The 13,174-nt window shown below is 41.1% G+C and overlaps 1 protein-coding gene across 36 annotated transcripts in view, besides 1 other annotated feature; it reads left to right on the top strand.

Annotated features, from left to right (window-relative positions):
- DLGAP1 (DLG associated protein 1) overlaps nucleotides 1–13,174 on the top strand; it is a 959,276-nt gene that overhangs the window by 675,191 nt on the left and 270,911 nt on the right. The gene's annotated exons all lie outside the window — the stretch shown is intronic.
- Nucleotides 8,491–8,710: a silencer, noted in NCBI's record as "silent region_9258". NCBI's record gives its function as "represses an Ori minimal core promoter by ATAC-STARR-seq in GM12878 lymphoblastoid cells {active_cell/tissue: GM12878}" and the evidence as "EXISTENCE:reporter gene assay evidence [ECO:0000049][PMID:35858748]".

The following is a 13,174-nucleotide window of genomic DNA, read 5'->3' as shown; positions in this document are numbered from 1 at the left end:
CCTGTGGGGTGGTCTATGAAAGAGTAACAGGCCGGGAGCGGTGGCTCATGCCTGTAATCCCAGCACTTTGGGAGGCCTAGGCAGGTAGATCACTTGAGGTCAAGAGTTTGAGACCAGCCTGGCCAACATATAGTGAAACCCCGTATCTACTAAAAAATACAAAAATTAGCTGGACGTGGTGGCGTGCGCCTCCCAGCTACTTGGAAAGCTGAGGCAGGAGAATCGCTTGAACCCGGGAGGTGGAGGTTGCAGTAAGCCGAGATCACACCACTGCACTCCAGCCTGAGTGACAGAGCAACACTCCCTCTCTCAAAAAAAAAAAGAAAAGAAAGAAAGAGTAAAAAAAAAAAAAGGGTGCACTGACCACTCTATATAATAGCCCATTAAAGATGTGGAAAAGATGAAGAGGCAGCTTCCTTCTCTTTGCATCAGAGCAAGCAAGCTTCCTGGAGGAGATGGGATTTAAACTGGATCTTAAACAATAGATAGAATATTGCCATGCAGAGATGGAGGAGATCAAAACAATGGGGCAGCATGAACAAAGCAATGAGGCAGGCCCACTGGAGGACAATCAAGTGTCGTCTTTCTTGTCCACAGCAGTGCAGTATTACCTGTATCCTCAGAGAGTGTTCAGGCATGATCCGAGAGGGCTTGGATGGATTACTATGGGTTTGGGCTTAATTTGGTAGGCAATGGAAACCACTGAAAGTTTTGGAGTTTTGGGGAAAAAACTGATTGCTGGGCCAGACATGGCGGCTCACACCTGTAATCCCAGCACTTTGGGAGGCCAAGGTGGGAGGATCACTTGAGCTCAGGAGTTCGAGACCAGCCTGGGCAACATGGCAGACCCTGTCTCTAAAACAACAACAACAACAACAACAGCAAAACTGGTGGCATTGCCTTTTAAGGATTAATCCTTCCATGCAGAGAGATACAGGGAGACAGGACAGGAGAACTCTACCAGGATCTAGGCTCTGAGATCGGGACAGAAGGAGGGAGGACAACACAGACAGAAATTTGGGAGCTAGATTTGGAAAACTTGCTCACTCACCACCTGCGGGTGGTCAAGAAAAGGAACGGTGGTCTTTGGGCCTGGGTCGTGGGGGGATGACCTAGTCAGAGTAATATGATATGGAGGGTGAGCTCAGGTTGGGATAGACTGGGTTTTGCATGCCTCTGCAGTTCCCTGTATAAACGCCACGTGACTTACAAGGCTGCAGGACTGGCTGGGGCCAAGGAGAGAGGACCCTGAGCCACGCTATGTCTCCAGGGCAGGATCTCCCTTTCTGTCAGGTCCTCATCCCCTCTGCTTATCCATTTGCTTCCTGGCCAGCTCTCCCAGGGAATATTTATCCTTAGAACATAATGATCATTTCTTCCTCTTTCCCGTATCCATGCCTAGCCTTTCTGCTTCACAAATGGAGTTGTCTGGCTCCAAAGTCATCCACTCTGGTGCTTCTTAAGGGATTTGAATCTCTCCCCACTTGCCGCTGCTGTGCACAGGTCTCCCTGCCTGGGCCTTCTAGTGAGAGATCCCCAGCAGCCCTGAAAAACCTGCCTATACAGCCCACACTATTGAGAAACCTGTTTTTATTGCTAACCTAGATCCTTTGGTCAAAAGTCTTATCTTCCTCATATCAGCTAAAATAAGAGGCATGACCTGCTTTTTTTTTTTAAGATGGAGTCTTGCTCTTGTCGCCCAGGCTGGAGTGCAATGGTACAATTTCAGCTCACTGCAACCTCCGCCTCCTGGGTTCAAGCGATTCTCCTGCCTCAGCCTCCCAAGTACCTGGGATTACAGGTGCCTGCCACCACGCCCAGCCAACTTTTGTATTTTTAGTAGAAACGGTGTTTCACCATGTTGGCCAGGCTGGTCTTGAACTCCTGACCTCCGGTGATCCACCCTCCTCTGCCTCCCAAAGTGCTGGGATTACAGGCATGAGCCATCGTGCCCAGCCTTGACCTGCTTTTTACCTGTACCCAAAAATATAATTAGTTCAAGGCTATGATGCATGCAATTAAATTTTTCTCCTAAAGATATATCTTTAATCAGAAATTCTAGAGTAAGTCTCATTGATAAGAACACAAAGTAAAGGGCTGGTAAAAAGCAAAAACAGAAGAACAGATGTGAGAGTCTGCTTACTTACGAAGGATTCATTCCATTTGAGTTCTACAAACACACACACACTACACATCCCCCCAGCTCAGAAAAGGACCACCTACCCAGGACTCTGACTTTAGATCTAAAGAATTTGTTTCTGGTCAGCCTTTTCTCTTAATATCTGAGGGGTCAGGGGGCCAATTCCTATTAGTCCAATTATGTCATTGTACTGAAAGAAACAGTATTGAACATCAAAATGCAAAACATTTTTCTTGTCTTGCTGACCCAAATTTATCACTGATTTGGAACCCCTTTCAGAATTGAAACATACTCTCTACCCCAAATGCCCTTGGAATGACATTTACATCTCTTTTGTTTTTTCAAGAGGAGATGATCATCATAATATTGTATGAAAAATTCCAAATAAAAAGGCTTAGAACTGCTTTGCTTCCTTTATTCTCAATATGAAATAATAACAAACAGAGCTCTAAGAAATTTATTTTAAGATATAAACTTATATAACCCATCGCTCCCTTCTCTCCAGCCACATCCGCGTATTCTTCCACCACCTCCACTTTTATAAAATTATCTACACTTTGTTTTTGTCTCTAACATATTCAGTTTCTTCCCTGAAATGGTCACTTGATTCACATGGGCTGGTTTTGAAATGCCTCTCCCTGTGGAGGATGCATTTTATCATGAAGTTTCTGGTCCCTGGGGGTATTTCTGAATTTCCTTCCGAATATTCATCTAAACCCTTTCCCCGCTCTCTGCCAAAACACCCCAGCCATACCTATGAATGGGTGTTTAAAAAGAAACTGAACTATTGTTTAAATGTAAGTTTTTTTAATGTATGGGGCCTTGAAAATTTGCTTTTATAAGCATATATAAAATAATTTTCCCAAAAAGCACATAAAAAATAATTTTCTGACCAGGTGCAAAAGCTCACGCCTATAATCCCAACACTTTGTCAGGCTGAGGCAGGAGGATTGCTTGAGAGTTTGAGACTGACCTGGGCAACATAGTGAGACCCTGTCTCTACAAAACAAATTTTAAAAATTAACCAGGCATGGTGGCCACACTTGTGATCCCAGCTGCTCATGAGGCTGAGGTGGAAGGATAGCTTGAGCCTGGGAGGTTGAGGCTGCAGTGAGCCATGATTGTGCCACTGCACTCCAGCCTGGGTGACAGAGTGAGAACTTGTCTCAAAATTAATTAATTAATTAAATGAAATAATTTTCCCAGTGATCTCTTTGAATTGTTTTTGTTTTGTTTTTGTTTTTGTTTTTTAAATAGCAACTGAGCAAATGTTACATAATTTCCTCTTTATCACTTTCAGGCTTAGAGAAATAGCATAATGTCCCTAAAGAAATGTGCTGGCACTGGCGCAGGGAAGGCAGGGGGTGAGGAGAAAAAGCATCTTCACTTTCTGGTTATAACGGAGAGTCGGCACAGCCCCAAGAGTGGTCATGCTCCCTAAGCAAGGAAGCCAAGAACTGGTCCCATGTTAAAGGTTAAGCGTGCATTTGTTCATCCAAGAGGCCGGTCTCTTGGATCTAGACTGAGGCCCATGCAACCTGGAAAATGAAAAAACAGAAGAGACTGACTACTTTCAGAGGATTCATTTCACTGGGGCTGTACAAACACAGAAGAATACACTCCTCCTGACTTGCTAGCACTACTTTCCCTGGAGACAGAGAGCTCCAGATGATGGTTATGAGACTGGTAACCTTTAAAAGCCAAAGTTAATGTTTCCTCTAAAATTAGCCACATATCCTCTTCTAGATTTCTGAGGATCTATAGTCCCTTTCTGAATGCTGTTTTCCATTCAGTGCACACGATCTGTTACTCAGAGGCTGGTGATCCCGTATGCGGAATGCACAAACTTACCATCTTCCCCGTCTTTTCCCTCAGGCTGCTCACTGGTCATTTCTCTGCTCATCAATCCTGTGCCGGATGGGGGTGGGAAACTCACAGAAGCTGACAGCTCTTGAGGGCTGAGTGTCTTGGCAGAATGTACAGTGACATGGGCATTCGTTCTGAATTCCAAGGACGTGAGTTCAAGCTGCACCTTTACCATTTACTAGATCTAGACATCATTTATCTCAAGTTCAAAAACAGACCAAACGAATCTATGGTATCAGAAGCCAGGGTTGTTTATCTCTGGGAAGGGGAAAGAAGGTAGCAAGCCTCTGGAATATAACTAATGTTCACTTTCTGGACTGAAAGTTGATTCCATGGGCATGTTCACTTTGTGACAATTTTTTGAGCTGTTGTAGGGGCCAAGGGGAAACTTCCCCTTCACCCTCTGAAGGTTTGCTGAAAATCAACTTTTAAAAGGCAGATTAATAGAAGAAATGGCACACAAATTTAATGTATTAGTTTGTTCTCACATTACTATAAAGAACTACCTGACACAGGGTAATTTATAAAGAAAAGAGGCTTAATTGGCTTAGGGTTTCACAGGCTGTACAGGAAGCGTGCTTGGTGAGGCCTCGGGAAACTTACAATCATGGTGGAAGGGGAAAGGGAAGCAGGCATGTCCTACATTGCTGGAGCAGTAGGAAGAAAGAATGAAGGGGGAAGTGCTATACGCATTCAAACAACCAGATCTCTTGAGAACTCTATCAAGAGAACAGCAAGAGGGAAGTCTGCCCCCATGATTCAGTCACCTCCCACCAGGCCCTTCCGCCAACATGTGAGGATGACAATTTGACATGAGATTTGTGTGGGGACACAAAGCCAAACCATATCGATGTGCATAACACAGGGGAATGGAAGGAGAATTGTTACAAAATAACCCAGTGGGATCCAGATGCTTACATACCCTTCTTAAGGAAAAAGAAAGATGGGGAAGTGTGTATTATTTTAGGGAGGTACTAAATGATTTTTAGGAGAGTTCAATGGGCTTAAAGAACACACAGTGACCTGGGACAAAGCCTGTGGGGCCTGCAGAGCGACAGTGGTTTGTGAAAAAAGTCCGTCCAGATGAGACTTTCTTTACCTGGACAGACTTCAGTCTTTCTTCCTGCGATATGAGTTCAGTTAGTGAAAACGCAGGAAAGGGACAGTAGGCAGGGAGTGCAGGAGGTGGTGGGAGGAAGGGGGTGGTTGTTTTCTTTGGCAGGTCCAGACTTTAGGCAGATGAGGGAACTTTAGAGAACAACTTCACTCTATGTCTTCAGAGAGAGCCAGGATGAGAGACTGGGACTGGGAGCTCAGAGAGACTTGAGAGGCTTATTCAGTTCAGCATGTCCGAGCTCCATATTTTGGGGTACAGGTTTCTGAGCCCCAACACTGTAAACTTATGACCTGACCATGTACTCTTGCATTTATGTTATATTTCAGTAAAACCGTATTTTTAAGAAGTTAGGCCAAATAACCGAATGGAACGACTGGGCCCACCACCACTATCCCCCACTAGCCCGTTTCATAAGAGACATCATCTCCAGGAGCGAGAGGCAAAGCAGCGGTGAGCAAGCCAGCCCTTCCAGCAGGACGAATATGTCACCTTTCCATGACACAGCTCCTGCCATCTGAAACAGAACCCCTCAGACATCCCAGACACAGTCTCTCCTAAATGGGCTAAGAAAAGGCATCACTAGTATTCCATCCATCTATCATGTCCTATATGATACTCACACCATAACGACTTCTCAGCACCCCTGCCTCTAAGACTCCACAGTTACCACAAGTCCTGCCGTCACTGACCATTACACATTCTTCCTCTTGAATTACCTTGTCACTAACGAGAAAAGGCTTTGGGTACCTGGCAGACCCAGGTTGAACTTGACCAGGCTTTTGCTAAGTCCTTAACAGGAAATCTCAGCTTTTTTGTATCCTGGCACTCACCAAGAGGAACTTTTTGGCACTGAGTTACTGGAACAGCTTAAGGATGCCGCCTAAACCCAGAAGTTGGCGACTGCTGCAGACCTTCCCTCAGAGAGCAGCTGAAAATTATTCCTATTAAGTAGGAGGAAGGAGGTGAGGTGGCAGCTGCTGGGAGATGTTGGGGAAGGTGAGCACCCCAATTTGAAAGTAGAAGACAAGGCAAAGAAGTCTCATTTCCCAGCTTGGATTCCCAATCACAGAAAAATATTTTTTGATTCTTCCTGTTACTTTTTAACTTGGCAATTGAATACTTCTAACATCTGACTGTCAGGCTACCTGGAAATATTAGCAGAAAGTTTATATCCATTTCCCTCTAATATATGCTTGAATTAATGTAGCACCAGTCTTTCGTGCTCCCAGAACACAGTGAAATAGATTTACAAATATGTGGCATGGAAAATCAGTTAAAAACAAATAGCACTTACTATCAGTTAAAAATGAATTTAGCTAGATGTTTTTATCAGTGTGGCAGGAAGTTATTTATGAACACTATTGTTAGGTACACCAGAACTTGCTCTGCCAGTTCTTGTTTTCAGCACTAGGGGATCAAAAGTCATCTTATCCAAAAGCAAACCAGATAACTGAAATCATCAATCCCAATTGCTCAATTCTTGCATGAATAACAATAAACTATTAACTATTCTAACTAATTAGGAAAACATTTTGTTCCTAGAGGGTACTGTTTGCACAGCGTTCCTTCCATAAATATTTATCTACTGTTCTTGCTGCCAACAATAGTTAGTCACCTGGTATATACAAAACACTGTGTTATGCTTGGTAGTATAATAAAACAAAACAAAAAAGATAAATTATCTGCTAATATTAGTTTATTACCAAATGTTCTTATATCCTGAGAGCCCAACAGAGTTTATGTGTGTGTCAGTTTATGAGTGTGTTATCGGTGAGTGAGTCAAATACAGGCAACAGAGCCCACCTAGAAACTGGTTTCCTTTTTTCAGTTCCCACGAGTTCCTTGTGTATCAATAGTGCCCTTTCACATTAAAAAAATAAAAAAAAATTTTTAAGTCCCATCTAAGAATACACAAGGAGCTCATTAAGAACTCCTTCATTCCAGTATTCTTTCAGCCTGATCTTAAAGCACAAGTAAAAATGTTCTCTTCTTTTAAATGGGCTCTGCCAAGTTAATTATGGACAGGAACACTAAGGTAAGGACCAGGGGCTCCGTTCAATACCATGCTGAAGAGGTGAGGCCCTCTGCCAAATGTTCACTGGAGTTATCGGGGGCTTAGAGTTGGTCTTTTCAAACTTTAGTGCAGTTAAGAATCACCTGGAAGTCCTGTTACAATGCAGATGCTAATTTAGCGGGTCTGAAGTGGGGCCTGTGATTCTGCATGCCTAACAAGCTCCCAGGGGGTGCCAATGCCACTGGTCCAAGAACCACATTTTGAATAGCCTGTTTTTAAAAACACCCTTAGAGCCTAAATTAATTGTTCTGGGGTGGGGCTCAGAAATTGAGGATATAATAATATTATTAATAAAATTCCCAAAATGATCACATGAATGTAAAATTCACAAAGCCTCCTTATTCCTAAATATATTAAAAGACGACAGGCAGCTACACTAGACCAGAAAGAAAAGAAAGAAAGAATACACAAGGAGCTCATTAAGATCTCCGGGACAGAAGAAAGAAAGAAAGAAAGAAAGAGGGGGGTGGGGGGGAGGGAGGGAGGGAGGAAGGAAGGAAAGAAAGAAAGAGAAAGAAAGAAAGAAAGAAAGAAAGAAAGAAAGAAAGAAAGAAAGAAAGAAAGAAAGAAAGAGAGAGAGAGAGAGAAGGAGAGAAAGGAAGGAAGGAAGGAGAGAAAGAAAGAAAAGGAGAAAAGGAGAGAAAGGAAGGAAAGAGAGAAAGAAAGGAAGGAAAGAAGGAAGGAGAGAAAGAAAAGAAAGAGAGAAAGAAAAGGAGAGAAGAAGAGAAAGGAAGGAAGGAGAGAAAGGAAGGAGAGAAAGAAAGGGAAGGAAGGAAGGAGAGAAAGAAAAGAAAAGAAAGAAAGGAAAGAAAAGAAAAGAAAGAAAGGCTTAGGTTTTAACTGTTTTTACCATCAGAGTCTATGGTTGTTATAAAATAGTCAAATATTGCAATCTATTCATAATTCTATTGTATTTTAAATTTGCGCTTCTGTTCCCGAAATAAGCTTCACCACTTGCAGCTTAAGCCACAGAAATGCGAACTCAGAAGGGACCGGGAGAGGAGAGAATGTTCTTTCAGCGTTAGAAATTTATCTTGTAAATAGAAGCTGGCAGTGGCCACATGGATTTTTTTTTTTTTTTCAGAGCTAGGGCAGGCAGTTAGTAGACCTCAGTTACAGCGTCAGCTCTGCCACTAACTAGCTAGTTAGACCCAGAGCTGCTCTGAGCCTTAATTTTTTATCCGTTGAAGGAGAGCCTTTGAAAGAAGATAACAGCAATCCAGGCCCCTGACATCCTTTGATTCTTTGATTAAGTCACCAACGTCAAACATGGAAAAACTTGAATGAGCAACTCGCTCAGGATTTCCTGGAAGGCACCCTGACTTGGAGAGTGGTATTATGCAAGTCCCGCAGTACACACGGCACGTCCCGCCCGGGCGGTCCTGCGCAGTCCTCAGCCTCGACCGCCCCCTGCCGGTCCTCCCCGGGACTGACGCCGCCACCCGCCCCCGGGCCGAGCGCGTCTCCGGGGAAACACAGACGCACTCTCAGCTCCCCTGGACCTACGCCGTCGTCCCCCCACCGTCCTTCCACGGGGGCGCAGGAAGGAGTGGGACGGAGCATCGGTGCCTTTTTCATTAGAATAGACACAAAGCCCAATTAATAAAGACCCAGAGAAGAGGAAGGGAAGAACAAGACCCAGGGGTTAGAAGAGAGAAGAACAAGAGCGGATTCTCAGCCATGGGACCGCAGCTTGTGAAAGGGGAGCTTTGTTTATTTATTGTCTAATCTCCTTGCTGCCCTGAGCTCGTGCAGCACGTTCCTTATCGGAATCTTGGGAGCTTGGGAATTTCCACAACAGAATATGTCGAATAGCTTATATTGCTAGCATAATAGAGTACATTTTGACCAGAAAGCTTTTATCCCTTTTCATGTGGTAGTGATTGTTCGGTGCTTCTCTATAGAAAAGTTAAACCATCCTCAATACGGTGAATATTATCTTTCCATTCTTTCACCCAAGGCATAAGAAATTACTATAATTTACCATGGCATAAAGGTAATAAAAGTGGGTAGAAGTCATCTTTCCAACACCTAAACACCTATCTGGAAAAGCTTTTGACCACCAACAGTACTCATTATTTCTGTCTTTGTACCTAATTGATTTAGTCAGAGTATCTGTGGCCATTTAAATACTATGTGATTCTGGTGATAATGGATTGATGGGGCATGTTTCCATTTCACTCACAAATGCTTTCAAATATACTTCTGCCTTATAGCGTATGCAATTATACTTTCTGTTCAGAATCTGTGAAGTTAATGATTCTTCACATTTCCTGGAAAACTTTTATGTTTTTGTTCAGATGAATGAGTAGTTATTTTCTCTAAGTATAAATTTCAGAGCTGTTGCATTTCTACAGCTAAAGCCCATGTAAAACATAGCCAATGAATGGGCATTCATCTGTGTTTCATGGCACATCAAAATGTATTTTAAATGCCTTTTCCTATGGCCACCTCCAGTCTTTTTTGCCTTAATTATGGCATCAAGGTGACTATTAGGAGTTTGCAGTAGCCAGTGATGTGGGGGTAAGGCAGGAGCAATATTCAGGACATGTGTCTGGTCATTAAGAAGTACCCAAATTTCTAGAGACTCAGAGAAGAATAAGAGGAAAATTCCACCACCTCCCTTCTCCTGCCTGCCTTCTCTCTCCCACAGTGACAGCACTGACCTATCAGACAGGGAAAATGGAAGATGCAGGCCTTATGCATAGTAGTGCCTGTCTCCAACCAGGTCCCAAGTCCACCCATGAGTACATTCTTCAAGTGTGCTCTTCTCACTGCCACACACACAGACCCTGGTTCATCATGGCAGACGTTTAAAAATTTGGAGACTAACTTGGTTCTACTTATTCTTAGGTACAAACTCAGTTCCAATGTCCAGCTTTGAACTAGATGGTGAACCACACTATTAGTTTTTCCTGCATCCTGACTCATTCATTGTCTGAAGGTGGGATTTTTTTAATTAAAATTTTATTTTGAGATTAAAATTATTTTGAGATAATTGTAGATTAACATGTAGTTGTAAAAATAGTACAGAGAGATCTCATGCACCTTATACCCAGTTTTCCCCCCCCACCCACCGTGGTAACATTTCAAAAAACTGTAGAACAATATCACAAAGAGGATATTGACACTGGTAGTCAAGATACAAACATTTCCATCATTGCATGGGTCCCTCATGTTGCCCTTTTATAGCCACACCCACTTCCCTCCCAACCCCACCACTTTCTTTACCCCTCGCAATCACCAATCTGTTCTCCATTTCTGTAACTCTGTCATTTTACATGAATGGAATCACACAGTATGTAACCTTTTGGGACTGGCTTTCTTCATTCAGCATAGTTCTCTGGAAATTCATCCAGGCTGTTGCTGAGAAGTATTCCATGGATGTACTACAGTTTAACCATTCATTCCTTGAAGGATATCCTGGTTGTGCGCAATTTGGGGCGATTATAAACAAAGCTGCTGTAACCATTCCTATAAAGGTTTCTGAGTGAACATACGCTTCATTTCTCTAAGACAAATTCCCAGGAGTACAATTCTTGGGTCATATAGTAGTTGCATATTCAGGTTTTAGACAAACCATCAAACTGTTTTACAGAGTGGTTGTACCATTTTACATTCCTACCAGCAATGTATGAATGATCCCTTTTCGTTGAATCCTCACCAACATTTGTTGCTGTCATTAATTTTTTGTTGTAGTCATTATGATAGGAGTGGAGTACTATCTTATTGTGAATTTAATTTTCATTTCCTTAATGACTAGTGATGTTGAACTCTTCTCCTGGGTTTATCTGTGAAGTGTTTCTTCATGAGTTTTGCCCATTATCTAATTGGATTGCTTGTTTTTTACTGTTGGGTTTTGAAAGTACTGTATTTATATTAGGTACTAATCCTTTGTCAGATATGTGATTTTCAATTATCTTCTATTTCTAGCTTATCTTTTCATCTTCTTAATCAGGTATTTCACAGAGCTAAAGTTTTTAATTCTGATTAAATCCAATTTATCAGGTTTTCACTTTATGGATCATTCTTTTAGTGTTGATTCTAAGAACTCTGCCTAGCTTAGAATCCCAAAGCTTTTCTTCAATGTTTTTTCTAAAAGTTTTATAGTTTCATATTTTACATTTAAGCCCTTGATCAATTTTGAGTTTGCGTAAGGTGGGAGACTTACGTCTTTTTGCCTGTGGATGTCCAATTGCTCCAGCACCATTTATTAGAAAGGCCATCTTTCCTCTTTTGAATTGCTTTTGCACTTTTGTCAGTAATCAGTTAGGGAGGTTTTGGGCTTTCTTGATTCTCCATTCTGTTGCACTGGTCTGTGTTCCTACCCTTTCACCAATACTACACAGTCTAGATTACTGTAGCCATAGAGTATGTCTTTGAATAGACTGAATCCTCCCCCTTCCTTCTCCTTTTTCAAAATTGTTTTAGCTATTCTTGTTCCTTTGACTTTCCATACAAATTTTTAAAAAATCTTGTCTATATCTACAAAAATCTTTATGAGATTTTGATAAGAGTTGCATTAAACCTGCATATCAATTTGGGGAGAATTGACATTTCTCCTATTTTTGAGTATTTCAACTCATAAACATGCTATGTGTCTCCATTTATTAAAATCATCTTTGATTTATTTCATCAGTGCCATGTACTTTTCAGCTCACCAGATCCGAACATATTTTGTTAGATTTACACCTAAGTATTTTATTTTCTAAGCAGTTGTAAATGGTATTGGATTTTTAATTTCTGCGTCCAGGTGTTCATTACTACATAGAGAAATACAACTGATTTTTGTATGTTAGCCTTATATCCTGTGACTTTGCTGAATTCACTTAGTTCCAGAAGTTTTTTTGTTAAGTTCTTCAGATTTCCTTTGTAGGCAATCATGTCATCTGCAAACAGATGACAAGACAAAACAGGGACAGTTTTGAACTAGGTGGTGGTTTTGAGCCTAGGTGAACTAGGTTCCTTTCCAACTCTATGCCTTTTATTTCCTTGCCATACTAGCTAGAATTTCCAGAACTTTTGAATAAGCATGATAAGAGTGGAAATCTTTGTCTTGTTCATGATCTTAGGGGGAAAACATTCTGTCTTTCACCATTAAGTATATCATTAGCTGTAGATCTTTTTAGATGTTCCTTATCAAATTGAAGATATTCGCTCTTATTTCTATTTTTCTTAGACTTTTTATCATGAATGAGAGTTGAATTTTGTTACATGCATTTTCTGCATCAGTTGATAGGGTCATATGATTTTTTTCCTTAGCCTCTTAATATGGTATCAATAGATTACATTAATGTTCAGATATGGAACGGGCCTTGCATTTCTGAAAGTGGAATATCCCATCCAAGCGGAGTAAATTCCACTTGGTCATGGTGTATAATTCTTTATATATATTACTGAATTCTATTTGCCAATGTTTTGATAAGAACATTTGTGTCTTTATTCATGAGGTCTATAGTTTTATTTTTTTGTACTGTCTTTTTCTGCTTTTGATATTAGGGTAATGCTAGCTTTATAAAAATTCATTTTATAATGGGAATGTTTACTTCTCTTCTATTTTCTGGAAAAGATTGTGTATAATTGGTTTTGGTTTTTCTTTAGAAGTTGGTGACATCCTCCTGTGAAACCATCTGGACCTGGATATTTCTTTTTGAGGAACTTTTAAATTACAAAGTCAATATCCTTAAGAATTACAGGTCTAATATCTGTTGAAAAGTAGGTGAATTGTGGTAATTTTTGTTTTTCAAGCAATTGGTTCCTTCCATCTATATTGCCAAGTTTACAAGTATACAGTTGTTCATAGTATCCCTTTATACCTGCAGAATCTCTAGTGATATTCCATTTCATTCCAGATATTGGTCATTAGTGTCTTTTCTCTTTTATTCTTTGTCAGGCTTGTGCAAAAATTATCCATTTTATTGACCTTTTCAAAGAAGAACTTTGATTCTTTTCAAGTATTTTATCTTTTATATTGTTT

The sequence above is a fragment of the Homo sapiens genome, chromosome 18, assembly GCF_000001405.40.
Source record: "Homo sapiens chromosome 18, GRCh38.p14 Primary Assembly".
In the NCBI taxonomy this organism is placed as follows: domain Eukaryota; kingdom Metazoa; phylum Chordata; class Mammalia; order Primates; family Hominidae; genus Homo; species Homo sapiens.
Note: the sequence above shows the minus strand (reverse complement) of the source record. Positions and strands in the feature narration are given on the sequence as shown.